The sequence below is a fragment of the Homo sapiens genome, chromosome 1 (assembly GCF_000001405.40).
Source record: "Homo sapiens chromosome 1, GRCh38.p14 Primary Assembly".
In the NCBI taxonomy this organism is placed as follows: domain Eukaryota; kingdom Metazoa; phylum Chordata; class Mammalia; order Primates; family Hominidae; genus Homo; species Homo sapiens.
In genome coordinates, this window is record NC_000001.11 from 204,586,594 (window position 1) to 204,604,315 (window position 17,722).

At 46.9% G+C, this 17,722-nt stretch overlaps 1 long non-coding RNA gene across 7 annotated transcripts in view, besides 2 other annotated features; it reads left to right on the top strand.

The window, feature by feature from the left end:
* Positions 1 to 17,722, top strand: part of LRRN2-AS1 (LRRN2 antisense RNA 1) — a 65,547-nt gene that overhangs the window by 22,423 nt on the left and 25,402 nt on the right. For 3 of the 7 annotated variants that reach the window (XR_007066814.1, XR_007066815.1, XR_007066816.1), the window contains 2 exons: positions 7,713 to 7,846; positions 8,072 to 16,558. This is a non-coding gene — a long non-coding RNA (LRRN2 antisense RNA 1). The other 4 variants (XR_007066818.1, XR_007066820.1, XR_007066821.1 and 1 more) reach the window with 4 other exon arrangements.
* Positions 12,701 to 13,231: an enhancer, noted in NCBI's record as "H3K27ac-H3K4me1 hESC enhancer chr1:204568422-204568952 (GRCh37/hg19 assembly coordinates)". NCBI's record gives its function as "activates a minimal SCP1, AML or CMV promoter by ChIP-STARR-seq in primed H9 embryonic stem cells {active_cell/tissue: H9 hESC(primed)}" and the evidence as "EXISTENCE:reporter gene assay evidence [ECO:0000049][PMID:30033119]".
* Positions 13,232 to 13,762: an enhancer, noted in NCBI's record as "H3K27ac-H3K4me1 hESC enhancer chr1:204568953-204569483 (GRCh37/hg19 assembly coordinates)". NCBI's record gives its function as "activates a minimal SCP1, AML or CMV promoter by ChIP-STARR-seq in primed H9 embryonic stem cells {active_cell/tissue: H9 hESC(primed)}" and the evidence as "EXISTENCE:reporter gene assay evidence [ECO:0000049][PMID:30033119]".

Consider the following 17,722-nt stretch of genomic DNA (forward strand, 5'->3'; position numbering starts at 1 on the left):
CAAGTAGCTGGGATTACAAGCGAATGCCACAGCACCTGGCTGCTCATTTCCTTTTAGCGCTGAATAATATTCCATTGTCTGGATGTACCACAGTTTATTTATCCTTCCACCTCCTGAAGGACACCTTGGTTGCTTCCAAGTTTTGGCAACTAGGAACAAAGCTGCTATAAACATCTGTGTGTGGGTTTTTTTGTGGACATAAGTTTTCCACTCATTTGGGTAAGTACCAAGGAGTGCGACTGCTAGATTATATGGTGAAAGTATGTTTAGTTTTGTAAGAATCCATGAAACTGTCTTCCAAAGTGGCTGTACCATTTTGCATCCCCACCAGAAATGAATGAGAGTTCCTGTTGCTCCACATCCTCACTAACATTTGGTATTATCAGTGTTCCAGATTTGGGGCATTCTAATGTATATAGTGGTATCACTTTGTTTTAATTTGCATTTCCCCAATGGCATGTGACGTGGAGCATCTTTTCATATGATTATCTATCATTTGTACATCTTCTTTGGTGAAATGTCTGTTAAGGTGTTTGGCTCAGTTTTTTCTTTTTTTATTTTTATTTATTTATTTATTTTTTTATTTTTTTGAGACAGAGTCTCGCTCTCACCCAGGCTGGAGTGCAGTGGAGCGATCTACGCTCACTGCAACCTCCGCCTCCAGGGTTCAAGCTATTCTCCTGCCTCAGCCTTCTGAGTGGCTGGGATTACAGGCACACGCCGCCATGCCCACTAATTTTTGTATCTTCATTAGAGTCGGGGGTTTGCCATGTTGGCCAGGCTGGTTTTGAACCCCTGACCTCAGGTGATCCTCCCGCCTCGGCCTCCCAAAGTGCTGGGATTACAGGCGTGAGCCACTGTACCTGGCCTCGACTCAGTTTTTAATTGGGTGTTTGTTTTCTTATGGTTGAGTTTTAAGAATTTTTTATATATTTTGGATCAGATATGTCTTTGGCAAATATTTCTCCTAGTCTGTGGCTTGTCTCCTTCCTCTCTTGACAGCATCTTTTGCAAAGCAGTTTTTCATTTGAATGACGTGCATCTTATCAGTCACCTCTGTCATGGATTGTGCCTTTGGTTTTGTGTCTACTTTTATGTGGACTGTACCAGCCACGGCCTCCTGACTCCCGACTCCCGACTCCCCTGCATTGCTTCATCTCCTGCCCTCTCCGCTCTGCACTTTGAGGATCTCTGCAAACTCCACTCACATTAGCCTTTCAGTTCCAGATGGCCGGGCCCCTCCCTACCCCAGACTGCACCTGCTGTGCCCTTCTCCAGTCAACTCCCACCATCCTTTGAAACTCAACTCAGTATCACTACCTTGGGAGAGCCTTCCCTGGTGTCTCAGTCCAGCTCAGGCCCTGATTATATCTCCCCCAGCCACTGTACTTCCATTTCCTTCCATGTATCACAGTCATAAGATGCAGTTTCGCTGCAGCTTCAAGGGTTAAGTTCCATGAGAGCAGGTGGAATTTCTTTGTTGGTCACTGTCTTATCTTCAGAATCTAGCACTGTGCTTTGCATATAGTAATAATTATTATTTTAATAGCAAAAATATCTATTGTACCACGTGCCAGAAACCCTTCTAAACAGGTTACATATTTAGCTCCCCTGTTCTTCTCAATACCTCTGTGAGTATTTGATTATTGCCAGTTTATGGACAAGATATCTGAGGCCCAGTTTGCTTGAGATCACACAGCTAGTAAGTGGAAAAGCTGGGGTTCCAACCCAGACAATCTGGCTCCAGTGTTAATGTTCTTTATAATACTGGGTTGCTTCTCAAATGCAGTATATCTTCGTTGACTGAATGACAGCATGAGAGAGAAAGAGACAGAGGCAATTAGGAAATGGTAAGAGAATACAGCTAGTTAAAGACCAGAGTGAATGAAATTACCATTTGTCTCTGAAGGGCTCCTTGATGGTTGTTGATCGACTGACTGATGTAGTCTGGAACAGGGACATGTAACCTGCCCCAGCCTCTCTTTCCTTCTGGGGATCAATAGCCTGGGTCCTTCTCAAGGGGCATGTTGGAAGGATGCCACAGGGTGCCACAGTACCGAGCTGCCTGGGGTAGAGACAGCCTGGGCTGCAGGTAATGACCACTGAGATGTGCAGGACACCAATTAAAAAGCTTCAGTCCATTGTCTCCAGCAGTTCCGGCTCAGTTCCAGCCCTTTTTAGAGAAAGATACTGGATTGCCCAGGGGACCCCCAAGGCCCTTGCCCCCATTCCTGCATCTGGTCCAGGCTCTGGCCACATCCGGGGCCTTGTTACAGACTTTTGGGGCATTTCCTCAGCCTCCTCCAGTCACCCTGTGTCAGGAAATGTTGCTATCCAATTGTAATGTCTAAAAGGAATTTTCCCCGACAGTGAGAATATAATTGAGGAGCCTCGGGGAATGTTATTCTCCTCCCTGGGGACACCTGGAGAGCATAACCTCCATCCACAGGGCTGCAGGGCTGGTTCTGCGAGCTCATTCATTCAGCAAGTCAGGGCATTTCAGTTGTCCCTGCTTTTTTTTTTTTTTTTTTTTTTGAGACAGGGTCTCACTCTGTAGCCCAGGCTGGAGTACAGTGGTCCTCTCTGCAGCCTCGATCTCCTAGGCTCAAGTAATCCTCCCACCTCAGCCCCCTAAGTAGCTGCGACTACAGGCACATGCCATCACACCCAGCCTCAGTGGTTCCTGCTCTTTAAAAGAGAAGAGAGGCAATTTTCATGCAGGAAGCAGGGACTTGGTGGGCCTCCAGAATGAGAACACAGGCTTTGAAAGGTACAAGAGGTGTGGAGAAGGTGCTGACTCACAGAGAAGCTGATGTGAAGCCAGAAGACCCTGGAAAAGATGGTGTTCCCCTCAGAGCCTGCCAGGCTCCTAGAAAGCCTTGACCAAGATGGTGGCCTAGGACTCTGAGGAAGAAGTCGGGCCTCCCTGAACCAGTCTAGATTCCTGCTTCCTAGAGTTATAAGGAAGGTGTGGCCAAGCAAATATAGGACAGGCAGACATGCAGGGGAGGAATCTTGAGGCCAGAGAGGAATGAGCTTTCCTTACCCAGGAGTCTGGAATGAGATTCCTGAGGCCCAGTGCAGGAGGCCAGCAGATGGCTGGCACACACAAGTACACAAGTGCTCGCACCTTAAGAAGATTTAAGGGAACAGGCCCCGGGAAGGTCAGATGCCTTCAGACCCAGAATGTTGGCAGTCTGACCCCTGAGCTTCTGTGGTTAACACCTACCCCTTAGAGAGGTGGGGCAAAAAAAAGGAACTACGGTTTTGGGTGGCCTAGCAGTGCCAACCAATCTAACCATTTTTTCAGTGCGGTCAGGACTGAACTGGAACTTGGCGATAGGTCAATTCATTACTTTTGGATATTTCTGAGGAATTGTCCTTAACGTCTTAGAAAAGTCCCCCCATACCCCCCCCCTTTTCTTTTTTGAGACAGAGTCTCGCTCTGTTGCCCAGGCTGGCGTGCAGTGGCACAATCTCGACTCACTGCAACCTTTGCCTACCAGGTTCAAGCAATCCTCCCACCTCAGCCTCCTGAGTAGCTGGGATTACAGGCATGCACTACCATTCCCAGATAATTGTTTTTTGTATTTTTAGTAGAGATGGGGTTTCACTATATTGGTCAGGCTGGTCTCGAACTCCTGACCTCAAGTGATCCACCTGCCTTGGCCTCCCAAAGTGCTGGGATTATAGGCCTGAGACACTGTGCCCAACTTGAAAAGTCTCTTTTTTAAAATCTTGTTGTATTAGGGCATTCTTGCGTTGCTATAAAGAAATGCCTGAGACTGGGTAAGTTACAAAGAAAGGAGGTGTAATTGGCTCATGTTTCTGCAGGCTATACAGGAAGCATGGCAGCATCTGCTTCTGGGGAGGCCTCAGAAGGCTTCCAATCAAGGCAGAAGGCAAAGGAGGAACAGGCACAATGTATGGCAAAAGCAGGACCAAGAGAGTCGGTGGGGAGGTGCCACACACTTTTATTTTATTAGTTTATTTTATTTTATTTTTTTGAGACAGTGTCTTGCTCTAGAGTGCAGTGGCACAATCTCGGCTCACTGCAACCTCCGCCTCCCCAGTTCAAGCAATTCTCCTGCCTCAGCCTCCCGAGTAGCTGGGATTACAGGTGCACACCACCATGCCAGCTAATTTTTGTATTTTTAGTAGAGACAGGGTTTCTATATGTTGGCCAGGCTGGTCTCAAATTCCTGACCTCAGGTAATCCACCTGCCTCAGCCTCACAAAGTGCTGGGATTACAGGTGTGAGCCACTGCACCTGGCCCACACACACTTTTAAATGACTAGATCTCGTGATAACTCACTCACTATCTCGAGGACTCACCAAGCCGTGAGGGATCCATCCCCATGACCCAAACACTTCCCACTAGGCCCCACCTCCAGCATTGGGGATTATAATTCATCATGAGATTTGGGTGGGGACAAATATCCAAACTATATTACTTGCCTTATTATGTTAAGGGAAAGAAACCATTCATACATTAAATCCATTTATATGAAATTCAAGAACTGGCAACACAAATCTGGTGGTAGAAATTAAAACAGTGGTGGTCTCTGGTGGAAATTTTCTAGGGTGATGGAAGTATTCCATACCTTGATTTAGATGTTGGTTATATGGGTGTATACATTTGTCTAAACGTGTTGAATGGTACACTTAAAATCTGTGCATCTTACTGAACATAAATTATAATTATATCTCAAACAAACGAACAAAACAACTTTTTCTCTGTCCTTGGGAAGAAGAGATTTTCCCACTCTTCTTCATTGTAAAGAGGTAGATGGCTGGGGCCCCCAGGAAGCAGTTAAATGTGGTAGAAAACACATTGGCTTTGGAGTCAGGCTCTGATTCTGATTCTATTTTGCCATTTGTGGCCTTGGACAAGCTGATCTCCAATTTTCTAATCTTTAAAATGGGCTGGGAGAGTGTTGTGATGATGAAATGAACTAATACAGTAAAGTGCCTGGCATATAGCTGGTGCCCAAGCAGCTCCTTCTGCAGGAAGCCTTCCCTGACTTCTCCAGACCTGGTCAGGTACCTTCATTTCCACACACCAGCCTTGATGCATGTGTCATTCAAAGCCGTGTGTCAACAACAGTGCAGATCTTTGACAGTCACAGACCTTTGTGGGTATTTACTGAATAGTCAAACGGCAAATATGGAATCTGCAAATGCCAAGAGCCTACTATATTGGAACATTTTTATCTTTCTGGTCCCTACTCTCTCCTAGGCTTTCAGATCTTGAGGGTACAACGTGGTTATTTCTCAGCTTTGCTTCTCCCCAGCTGTCAAAAGTGCTCAATAAATATTTGACCACTGAGTAACTTTTAAGTTACTCATGCATGAGTAATTGAATAAATGCATGAAAGAATGCATACACTAGTGAATGTATGAATAATAGAATGAGACAATTAGTGCATAAGTGGGGGAAATAGGTGAATGGTGAATCAAGAAATGAGTAGAGAATTAAAGGAGTGAAGGTGAAGGAATGAATGAAGCAAAGCTGGTTACCTTTCTTCCAAAGGGCTATGTGCTGGTGACAATACAAATGGGCCCATTCCAGAGCCCTGGAGAGAGTTAGAGCTGGTCCACCTGACAGACAGCCACGAGTGACAGCCCAGCCACTGGGGTCCTCCAAATGTACTCATTCTGGAAACTTCTCCTTTCCTTCCAGCCACTATCTGCCACCCCTCCATGGAGCTAGGGACGCCAAGGGACTGTGAGGCAGGGCATGACTCCAGGGGGCAGAGAGCTAAGTGCATGGCTGTCCTCTCTCTTCCCAAACCCTTGTCACAGGCCGTGAGGGCCTGCTGCCTCCCCTGATGCCATGTTCCTGAGCAGATGTTCCTCCTGTCTTGTCAGCAACAGAGCGGCTGTCAGGAGTCCGCATTATATATCTGCTCGGTAACGTTTACTGGGATTTAGTGTTTAACAACTGTCACTCCAATATATCTTTTCTTAATCCCTTCAGATCTGCTGCTGTAGCAACTTTAAATATTTATCAACACTGTTCGTGTGTTCGTTGGTTGGGTTGCAATTTTCTTGTAATTAAAGATTTACAAGACACTGCTCCAGACTTAGGAAGGATTGGTAGAGAGCAAAGAGGGAGGGGAGGAGAGCTCTGGTCTTGGAATCTGTTGTTTGGAATCCAAAGCTAGAATTCACTCTCCTGGGAGAGGTGGAAGCTCATTCACTGGTTCCCATAAGCCCTCTCCTTTCCTTCTCTTTCACACGGCCCCATGTTCAAAGTGGACCTCACGGTAAGATACAGACCAGGGTGTGGTTCTTCCTTCCTCTGGAGTCCCTGCTATGTGCCAGGCAGGGGCTAGGTGCTGAGGGACAGCAGGGAGCAGACAGAAAAGGTCCCTGCTGACATGGCGCTTCCATTCCAGTGGCAGAGACAGACAATACACAAGGAAACAAAGACATGTTTTAAAATCAGTTTAGATTTTGAAAAATGCAGATGTTGACTGAGGATGGGACCTTAGTATCAGAGTTCTTTATTGCAAGCAATATAAATTAGTTCTGGAAAACTTAAGCAAAAAGAAATTTCTGGAAGGATAAGGGGAGTTCTCAGGATCAAAGGAAAGAAGAAGAGAGAAAAAGAATAAAAGAAGGCACAGGAACCAGTGCTATTTTGGGCATCTTTATGGCAGGCACTCAAAGACAGTCTCTTCAGGGGGTGGCCACTGGGACAAATACCTCCCAACGGTGTTCTGGGTTTGTGATACTTTGTTTAGGATTCACAGTCCAGGGACAAAGGCCCTCACTCTTTGGCCAGGGGAGAGCAGGATGAAGACCAGGGACTTGTGATTGACAGTTTCATCAGGACTGTATCCACTGGGGGAGGAGGAGTTATCCAAAGCAAGATCTGGCGATGCCGCAGGAAGGGGCTCCAGGTGATGGACCTGGGCATGCTGAAACATCAGTGTGCACTGTACTGCAGGCCATTCTAAGCTGTAACCAGGACAAAGATAGGAGCTGGGCCCATGAAGAGCTGGGGGAAGAGAGAGCCGCAGGTGCAGAAGCCCCGTAGTGCGAAAGAGCTCAGTGGGTTTTCAATGGCCAAGGTGCTGGGTTCTGCTTTCCCCCACAGATTGAGCTTGAAAAATAAGCCTATCTGCAGTTCTCAGGGTCTCCGTGGGCCATGTCTGGGGACCAAAATTTTGTTTATTCCAAATGGAATAGGATAGAAGGCCCAGCTCTAGAGGGCTTCTCCCAGCTGCTGTGACAGGGAAGCCAGTGAGGGTGGAATTCTAGTTAAGTTGTGTTTCTGGAGGCCTGCAGTGGACCAGGTGTTAGGTTCTGTAGAACAAGGATGGAAGGGATATATCTACAGCTCTCAGAGCACTTAACTTGTGAGAGAGGTATAAATAGATTACAGCAGGGCAGTGATAGAAGCTGGAGAGTTGATTTGAAACCTTCTTTTGCAAAACAGGTTTAATGCTACCAATTTCTCCATAAGTACTACTTTTGTGGCATCCCAGGGTTTTGTTATTGTTGTTATTATTGTTTTTGGTTTTTTAGAGACAGGGTCTCGAATCTCTGTTGCTCAGGCTGGAGTGCGGTGGTACAATCATGGCTCACTGCAGCCTCGAACGCCTTGGCTAAAGCCATTCTACTGCCTCAGCCTCCCAAGTAGCTACGCCTACAGGTACCTGCCAAGTGCCTGGTTAATGTTTTTTATTTTTACTTTTTGTAGAGATGGGATCTTGCTCTGTTGTTCAGGTGGTGGTTTCAAACTCCTGGCCTCAAGTGATCCTCCTGCCTTGGCCTCCCAAAGCGCTGGGATTACAGGTGTGAGCCGCTGTGCCCAGGCCAATCCCAGAGATTTTGGTATGTTGTGTTTTTGTTTTCACTCAATTCAAAATATTTCCTAATTTCCCTTTTCCTTGGCCTATGGATTGTTTAGAATTTGTTATTTGATTCCCAAATATTTAGGGATTTTCTAGTTACGTTTCTGTTATTGATTTCTAATTTATTTCCGCTGTGGTCAGGGAATATATTTAGTGTGACATAAATCCTTTTAAATTTATTGAGTTTTATTTTATGGCCCAGAAGATGATTTCTCGATACGAGTTTCACGAAGACTTGAAAAGAATGTGTCCTCTGTTGTTGGATGGAGTGTCCTTGAAATGTTCATTAGGTAAGTTGGTTGATAGCATTCAAATCTTCTATATCCTTGCTAATTTTCTGACTACTTGTTCTATCAACTATTGAGAGAGGATATTAAAATCTCTGACTATAATTAAGAGTTGGGTTTGTCCATTTCTCCTTGCAGTTCTATCAGTTTTTGCTTCATGTATTTTGGAGCTCTGGTAAAAAGTATGTAAATGCTTAGAATAGGTATACAATAAAGAACTATTCAGCCTAATTATTAATTGAGAAAGTTGAGAAACCAGGGTCTAGGGCTAATTATTAGCCACTACAAAAGCAAGACTCTTGTATGTACTTTATCTAATGCCCCATGAATTATGGGACTTTCTAGTCTGGCCTGTAGGAACAGGCACCATTCCTAGCTTGTGTGAGTGTTGAGCACTGTTCCCTTTCATTATTATTATTATTATTATCATCATTATTATTATTATTATTATTTTGAGACAGGGTCTGGCTCTGTCGCCCAGGTGGGTGTGCAGTGGTGCAATCATCACTGCAGCCTCGACCTCCTGGTCTTGAGCCTCCTCCCACCTCAGCCTCCCAAGTGGTTGGGACTACAAGTGTGCGCCACTGTGCCTGGCTAAACTTTCATCCTTTTTTTTCTTCTTTCTTTTTTTTGAGATGGAGTCTCACTCTGTCACCCAGGCTGGAGTGCACTGGTGAGATCTTGGCTCACTGCAACCTCTGCCTCCCGAGTTCAAGCGATTCTCCTGCCTCAGGCTCCCAAGTAGCTGGGACTACAGGTATAGTTCAGCTTATTTTTGTAATTTTAGCAGAGACGGGGTTTCACCATGTTGGCCAGGCTGGTCTCAAACTCCTGACCTCAGGTGATCTGCCTGCCTCAGCCTCCCAAAGTGCTGGAATTACAGGTGTGAGCCATCACGCCCGGCAAACTTTCATCCTTCCAGATGATTCTTTCCCCAGCCTCGCATAGATTCCTGACCTACATGTGCTGATTGGTACTCAGCTGAATACATAAGGTGGGGACTGTCTCTTTAGATCTCCAGGATTCTCTCTCTGTGCAGTGCTTTCCTCTCCAGTTTTCTTTCCTGTGAATTCTAGCTGCCTTGTAGCTAGAATCTCAGCATTGTCTCCTCCACTCGGGGAATCCATCAGGCCTCACGTGGGCCCCTCCTCCCTACCTGGAAGGGGGCCTGGAAACTCCCTTAAGACAGTAAGCTGGGGCAATCACAGGAGTGACCTTGTTTCTTTCCCATCTCTCAGGGATTATTGCCTTTCATTATCTGGTACACTGTATCTTATAAATGGTTGTTTCACAGATTTTGTCGCTTTTGGTTGTTTTAGGTGGGAGGGTAAATCCTGTCTCTGTTACTCCATTTTGGTGGAAGGTCAGTCTCTTTGGATTTGGTAGACCAATTTTCAGATGCTGTGTGGAACTTGGGGCAAACCCAATAGGAGAATCCCAGTGGAGATCCTGAGGCTTTGTTTCTTTTTTTTTTTTTTTTTTTTTTTTTGAGATGGAGTCTCGCTCTGTCGCCCAGGCTGTAGTGCAGTGGCGCAATCTCAGCTCACTGTAACCTCTGACTCCCGGGTTCAAGCAATTCTCCAGCCTCGGCCTCCTGAGTAGCTGGGACTACAGGCACGTGCCACCACACCCAGCTAATTTTTTTTTATGTTTTTAGTAGAGACAGGGTTTCACCATATTGGCCAGGCTGGTCTCAAACTCCTGACCTTGTGTTTCACCCACCTCGGCCTCCCAAAGTGCTGGGATTACAGGCGTGAGCCATCATGCCCAGCCTGTTTCTTTCTTTCTTTATTTTTTTTATTGCCTATTCTGCTCGTGTAGAAATCCCGAGGCTTTGGAAGCAAGGACATACTCTCTTTCTCAGGTGATTATTCTCCTTTTAATAAGTAGTTTAGGCTTTTTATTGGCCCTAATAAACTGAACCCCTGACCGTTGGACACCACATCAGCATGCAACCCAAGCTACTGCTCATCATGAACCATGCCATGAATTCAGGCATGTCCGGCCACACTCCATAATCAAGTGCAAGTGATATGAGTGGGACTGGGCCAAGCAGGTACCAATGGCTGGTGTAAATGGGATGAGCTACTCACTTAAGCTCCAGTGTGCCTACTTCTGCTGCTCTGCTGCCTCTCCCTCAATCTGCATCTATGGCTGCATGCAGAGTTGACTGAGGAGGAAAACACCCATGACTGCTTTGCAAAACTCTTCATGATATGTTCGTCCCCACTCAAAGTAAACTGCTCTAGCCTTCTAGCTCCATTCAGAAGAGCCTCCGAAGTAGAGACCAGAAATCCTTCTAGTGGGCTGTGCTTTGAGCAGTACTGCTTGTTGACTGCTTTACTTGGAAGGAGAGATCGACTGAGGTAAGGCTCTTACTAATGCACGTGCTTTGCTAATGGTTTGGCCAGATGATCAAAAATGTGGAAGGGGTAAGATTCAAGGATTGGTGACAAGGAAGTTTAGAATAACAGAGATGTGGATGGGCCTCCTAGAATGACCAAAGAATATGAGAATATTTATGTTTCATGTGAACATTCATCAAGCTCCTATTGGTAGTCAGGTAGACAGGTAGACAAGGTGGTCTACTTTGAGGATGCTGATTAATCTCTTCCTCCAGTGACGCAGGGTTTGCTCAGTGGGCTCATGGACAGAGTGGCCCTGATGGCTCAGTGGAGGGCTTGGTATAGGCTTAGCCACATGGACTCACCAAGACTAACCTGGTTACAGCCGTTGTTGAATGCCCAACATTCTACAGCAGAAACCAACCCTGAGCTCCTGACTTGGTGCCATACCGTGGGGGGACCAACCTGCTGCTTCAGGCCCGGTTGGTTATTTGAGATTCCACTCATGGAAGAGTTATGCTTTGTCCTTCTGAAACATACACTCCTTGTGGAATGACGATCTCTGCCAACCAGTCATTTTTGTAATGATGGGGCCAGCCTGCAGACCAATTTTTGTTACCTTTTTTTTTTCTGCCCAAGGAATAGATATATGGTACACCAGGCTGTGACAGATAGATCTTGCTGCAATGGGCTTATCATCAAAAGGGTCCAGAGACAGCCTGTGAAGTGGTACATGATCCAGAGTCAGCTACAGGAAGAAATGAATAACCAAGTCTTGACACATTCATGCTTTGCACGGGGCTGTGTTTGTCATGCTGATGAGGGCATGGCAGTGTGGCAGTGTGTGCGTGCGCACATGTGTGTTGCATGCCAACATTTCATCTTTCTGATCAGCTGGGTGCGGTTTTTTTTTTTTTTTTTTTTTTTTTTTTTTTTAGACGGAGTTTCACTCTTGTTGCCCAGGCTGGCATGCAGTGGCACGACCTCTGCTTACTGCAACCTCTGCCTCCCGGGTTCAAGTGATTCTCCTGCCTCAGCCTCCTGAGTAGCTGGGATTACAGGCGCCTATGACCATGCCCAGCTGCTTTTTTGTATTTGTAGTAGAGACAGGGTTTCACCATGTTGGCCAGGCTGGTCTCGAACTCCTGATCTCAGGTGATCCACCCGCCTTGGCCTCCCAAAGTGCTGGGATTACAGTGTGAGCCACCGCACCCCGGCCTGGGGATGGCTTTAAGGCAAGGAATGAGTGAGGTAGTGAGGCAGTCTCTGACCCCTTGTCTATTCAGGGTCCAGCATACATTCTGTCACAGGGGTAGTTTCATTTGTTGGATGAGGAAAAGAAAAAAAAAGAAAGAATGAATGTATATGTCCTTTGAGTCAGATGGGACCACAGAGATTATCTAGTTCCTCCTCAACCACTGTGGGAGTCTCTTTGTTGATATCCCCGACTGGTAGCCACCTAACTTCTGCTTTTTATTTGTAATAATAGTTAGTGTGAGGCACTCCAGTTTATATGCTTTAATCTCATATAAGCCTCAAAACCTGAGGAGGTATTACTACATTTATGTGCCAACGAAGAAACTGAATTTCCGGTAACTTCCTCAAAGTCACACAATTAGTAAATGACAGAGCCAGGAATTGAAGCCAGGTATATCTGACTCTATAGCTTAAGCTCTTAAGCACTGTGCTGTACTGTCTTAATAAATACTGTGACAGAGCTCTCACCACCTCACAAGACACCCTGTGTTATCGTTAGCCAGCTTTGGCTGTTAGAAAATTTTCTTCCATTGAGTTGAAACCTCCCTGTAACTCACATACACTGTTCTAAATGTCTCCTTTCAAACCTCTGAGAAGGATTCCCCTCCCCAATTCCATGTGACATTCCTACACTGTCTAAGGATGGCTCTCTTCCATCAAGGATGGAAGAATCCTATCTAGTAGACCTGTATGCTAAGAACCCTTGCTGAAGGAACTCAAGTTTACCAATGTCCTTAGTATTTGGCTCTCAGGCTATGGAAGGCGAAGGTGGACCAGTGCAGAACGTTTCAGTACCATTACCTCCTGTGTAGACACTGCACTGTTATTAATACCATTTCACCTCGCGTTAGCATTTTTGGCAAGAGGAGTTATTCCACTGCTTGGCTGAATGACTGTGGAGCTTAGCTCAGAGCAGGAAATAATATGAGAGGGCAAGAACAGCAGGCTCCCCTGGGTCTGGCCGGAGTCATGTGTGATTATGGTCTCTGAGTCTAAGTGCTGGGGCAGTGAGGGAGGTGAGGGAGGTAGTGCACGAACTGGGGGCTGCTCCTGGTTTGTGGGGTGATGCTTGACAATCGTTTCTTCTAGAGGGGAGCTGCAGTCTGGGGGGCATGTACACGTGTGTGTGTGCATGTACTGGCATGTCTGTGTGTGTGTGTGTGTGTGATGGAGCAGGGTCAGTTCCTAGAACAGCTGTGGAGCACCTGTCTTAGCCTCACCTATCTGGGCCTTTCTGTTCTCACTTTGGGTGTGACTGAATTTCATTTCACTGGGAAAACCGTCTTGCAGACCGAACTAACTCTGCGCACGAGATGGCTCCCGGATCCTCCCCCATTATTCTGAGCCCCAGTGCAAAGAGATAGATAAGGAGGCTGCACCTACCTGGATGCCCAGCAGGTCCAAAAGGCCAGCTCTGGCAGCCTGCAGCACGCCTGTGAGGACTCACCTGAGCCCCAGGCCTCTGCGCTGCCCGGGCTTGTCCCCCCAAGCCTGTGCGTGTGCGCTGGGGGTTACTGCTCTCCTCCCATGGAAATGGCCTTGGATTTCCTCTAATTAAGACTTAACATGGCTCCTGACAGACAGGAAGAATGAGGGTGAGAGGTCCTGGATACTTTATCTGACTTTCCTAAGTCCCAAAATAGGGAAGGGAAGGGGAGTCAAAGTGTATTCGGGGGACGACGGGACGGTGGGCGCAGAGGAAGGATGGGTGGGGCTCTGCTCTTCCTCAGCCGCCACCTTGCTCTGTCACGTCCCTCTTTTCTGAGGGACCCAGAGTGGCCATTGCGAGAGGGAGTCTGAAGAGCTACAGTCCTCAGAGACCTTCAGAGACTCCAGCTGGGCCTCCCCGCCTGGAGGAGGGAAGGGAAGTTCTGTGTTCTTTCTCATCACAGGCATTTGTGCTCCCGAAGCATCATAGCTCTGCAGCCTGGTGTTTTGCCTGTAACTGGAGAAATGCTTGCTGCAAAGCAATTTTATGTGTGGTAGTAGAAAGAGGCTGAGATTCCAGTCTCAGCTGTGTGACCGTGGGTAGATCACCTAACCTCTCTGAGCCTCATATTTCCCATCTGCCAACTGCAGAGACAAATACTGCTCTGCTCACCTCACGGGATTGTGGTGTGGATGGGAAAAGCCTCTGTGAATGGCTTTCCAAATGTGGGGGCTGTAGGGACGAGGATGACTACAGTGGTGGTGATGAGCATGTTAGCACTGACATGCCAGTTTGCCAGCGGGTGGTGGGCTGGGAGCTTACCTTTTGTTACCACGGCTTGCATTCAGAGTTGTCAGTTTTAATGGCTATTGTGGGAGACAGGGTCCTTTAGAAAAGGACACGACGATGAGGCTGGCGCCAGGTCAGGAGTAATTAAGAGCATGTATATGTGCATACCTGCATTTTTTTTGAGGGGAGTGGGCTGGGAGTACCTTCGATGCTAGATAAATCTGGCCAGACTCCAGCCCTGGCCAGGCCACCTGGCCACCTCTAGTCTAGGCCCTTTGGCATCAGAGAACCCTGACTTACATGATTACTATGAAATTTGTAACCATCTCGCTCCCTTCTCCTCAATGGCACAGAAAGGACTTGCTATGCTCTGCCACGGTGGGACTGCAGGGCCTGGAAGTCCAGAGAAGGATGGACTTGAATTTCCCAGCTGGCTCCAGCCTAAGAGGACACTGGGCAGCAACATTTTCTTTCTAAACTGAAAGGTCTCCTTTATGTTCTGGGATCTCTGATCCAGCGATCCCAGTCTATCCCCGGGTCATGGGTAATGCCTGAGGTTGGCCACCAGGGCAGGGAGGGACCCAGCAGACATCTGGGACTAGGGCAAGCATCTTGGACTTCCATTCCAACATTGCCCCTGGCTAGCTGGGTAGCAAAGGTCCACATTTCACCCACCTGCCATGGGAGAGGTTGGTGCTAGAGGGGAGAGAGGGCTTGGGCTCGGGAATACGATAGACTCTGGTTTGAATCCTGGACCTGGCACTGGGTAAATCACATAAACTTTCTGGACCTCTGTTTCTTTGTCTAAATGTGAGGTTAAAACTCTTGACCACGGCACAGAGGATGTTTCGGGCAGTGAAAGTACTCTGTAGGATACTGTAATTAATGGTCGATACATGTCATTATACATTTATCCAAACCCACAGAATGTATAACATCAAGAGCTGCCCTAATGTGAACTGGAGACTTCGAGTGACAACAATGTGCCCATGTAGGTCATTGATTGTAACAAATGGATCACTGTGGTGGGGCACGGGGGAGGCTGTGAGCATGAGGGCAGGGCTGTGTGGGAACTCTCTGTACCATCTGTTCCATTTTGCCCTGAGCCTAAAACTGCTCTAAAAAGTAAAGTCCATTAAAAAACAAACAAACAAACACAAAGCAAAATAAAACAAGATCATGAATTATTCGTGAATCATGAATTCAGAATTATACTTAGTCTTCTTGTAAAACATAATTTTGTATACTGCTTTAGATGACACAAACGACTCCCTACCTCCTGGGATTTTTGGGAGGATTGAGGATAATGTGTCATAAACAATGTAATAATGGGGGCAATAATAATAATAATCCATAATAGTAGCTCTAGTTGTACAGAGACCCCTGCCCACCCCTCCCATCCTCTCCTGGACGGCATGGGAGTGAAAGGGCTAATAGATGTGGAAATTCTTTGGGCTTCCGCATGCTGTTTTTAGTTAAAATGACATGACAATAGTACTTACATAAAATTTTCTAATCCTTTGTGTCCCTAGAATATGAAGCTCTGGTGCCCTGGGGTGAGCACGAGCACTTCTAGAGGCAGGCTTTCCTCCCCTCCTCTCCCCTGAATCATTGCTCTTCCCGTCTGAATGTTCCCAGTTCAGGGACTTGCTGTTTATCAGCCACAGGAAAAGATTCAGGATGCAATAGGGTAGATTTTTGTCTTGCTAAGTCTCCATGCTCCACAGGGAATGGCCAATTAGAGTCCAGCCCAGACTCATACATCACTGTCACACCTGGCTCCTTGGGCCTGGGGGCCGGGCCGGCTCCCAGGGAGGCATCCATAGATCATAGCCATCTCCTAGCAAGAGGAAGAGGAGGTGTGGGTGGGGTGGTGGGAGGTGGTGAGGTCTGGAGGGGGCAGAACATGATCTTTGGTCGGAAGCTGGAACGTCAGGGAGGGGCTTGAAGAAACCATGAATTCTTCATTACTAAGTGCCTTGTGGCAGGGTAAAGCCAGATAAATTTAAATATGCCCATCACCCAGAGCTTTAGAGCAGTTTTCCAAAGAAACTCAAGGGTTTGTGTTTCATTTGTGTGGTCCCTGCCCCTTTTTTCCCCTACCCTTATTATCCATAATTCTGGGGAGGCACTAAAAGCAAAGAAAGAAATCAAAAGCTCTGGCTGATTTTTAACTTGATATGGTGGCAGGTTAGAGCCCTCTGTGGTTGTGTGGGTGCGGGGCGGGGGGGTAGGAGTCTGATGCCCACCCACCACTCCCAGGTCTCATCATCCTCATGGTTCAGTCCTTCACACATTCACTCATTCATTCACTCTTCAAAAAGCTTTTAATAAACACCTACACTGAACCAGGCCATGTTCTGGGTGCTAGGGAAAGAAGTGGACAAGACTCTGCTCTCTTCATGGAACCGAGTATTCTAAGGACACAGCCAAGTCAGGAGACTACACCCCTAGTATAATAAGTCCTGTGGCTGTACTGAGAAGAGGTCCTGACTCAGAACTGGAGGACATCATGGAAGGCTTCCTGGAGGAAGTGCCATCTAGGCTGAAACCTAAAGGATGAGTAGAACTAACCAGATGAAAAGGTAAGGAAAAAGGGTCGTGTGGAGGAGAATGTTCCAAGCTGAGAGAACATTGTGTATGAAGGCCCAAAGGAGACAGCAAGTGTGGTTTGTTCTAGCAACTGAAACACATTTGATGTGGCTGGATCTCAGAGTGACGGGAGAGCCAGCATGAGATACCGAGGCCAGGTCATGCAGGGCTGTAATTGTGCAAGGCATCTGGACTTTAGTCTGAGGACAGTAAGGAGCCTCAGAAACGTTTAAAGCCAGGACATGGTAGCACCAGATTTGGATTTTAGAATGAGACTATTGGCTGCTGACTCTCCACCACAAAGCAGAGAGGCTGGGTTGGAGGATATCATGGTGGATGGGGGAGAGGTGGTAGTGGCATTGCACCTCCACGCCTGTTCCTGCACTTCCACACCTGTTCTCCCAAGTCCAGACTCTCCTTTCATCTCCTTGCCCTTGCTGTGGACCACGCAGCCAACTCAGGAGGAGGTGGTAACCCACTGCTTCCTCATCCCAAATCTGTCTCATTGCTGTGGGAGCTTCTACCTGAGACCACTGCTCTTGGGTATTTGTTTTACTCCTTGCCTTGGAAGCCCTGGTTTTCTTTGTTCCTCTCAGGCCTGCTGGAGGTCATGACTCCTCAGGGGCTGGATAATGGCCATGAGATTTCTCCAGAAATGAAAATAGGGGGTTCTGAAGAGAAGGCAGAGAAGGGCTGAGATTGCAGGCCAAACCCGACTGAGGTCTTGGGTTCTCATTTCAAGTCCAGAGGTGCTGGGGCAGCTCCTAGTTCTCAAAGACTCAAACGCAAAGCAGGTGGAGAAATGGAACCCTTGTGCACTGCTGGTGGAAATGTAAGATGATGCAGCCACTATGGCAAACAATAAAAAATAGAATTACCATATGATCCAGTAATCCCGCTTCTGGGTATATATCCAAACAAATGGAAAACAGAGTCTTGAAGAGAGATATTTGCATACATCCATGTTGATAGGAACCTTATTCACAGTAACCAAGAGGTGGAAGCAACCCAAATGCCCATTGGCAGATGAATGGATAAACAAAATGCGGTACATACATGCCAGGGAATATTACTCAGCCTTAAAAAGGAAGGAAAGTCTGACATGTTCTACAACATAGGTGAACCTTGAGGACATTGTGCTAAGTGAAATAAAAGAC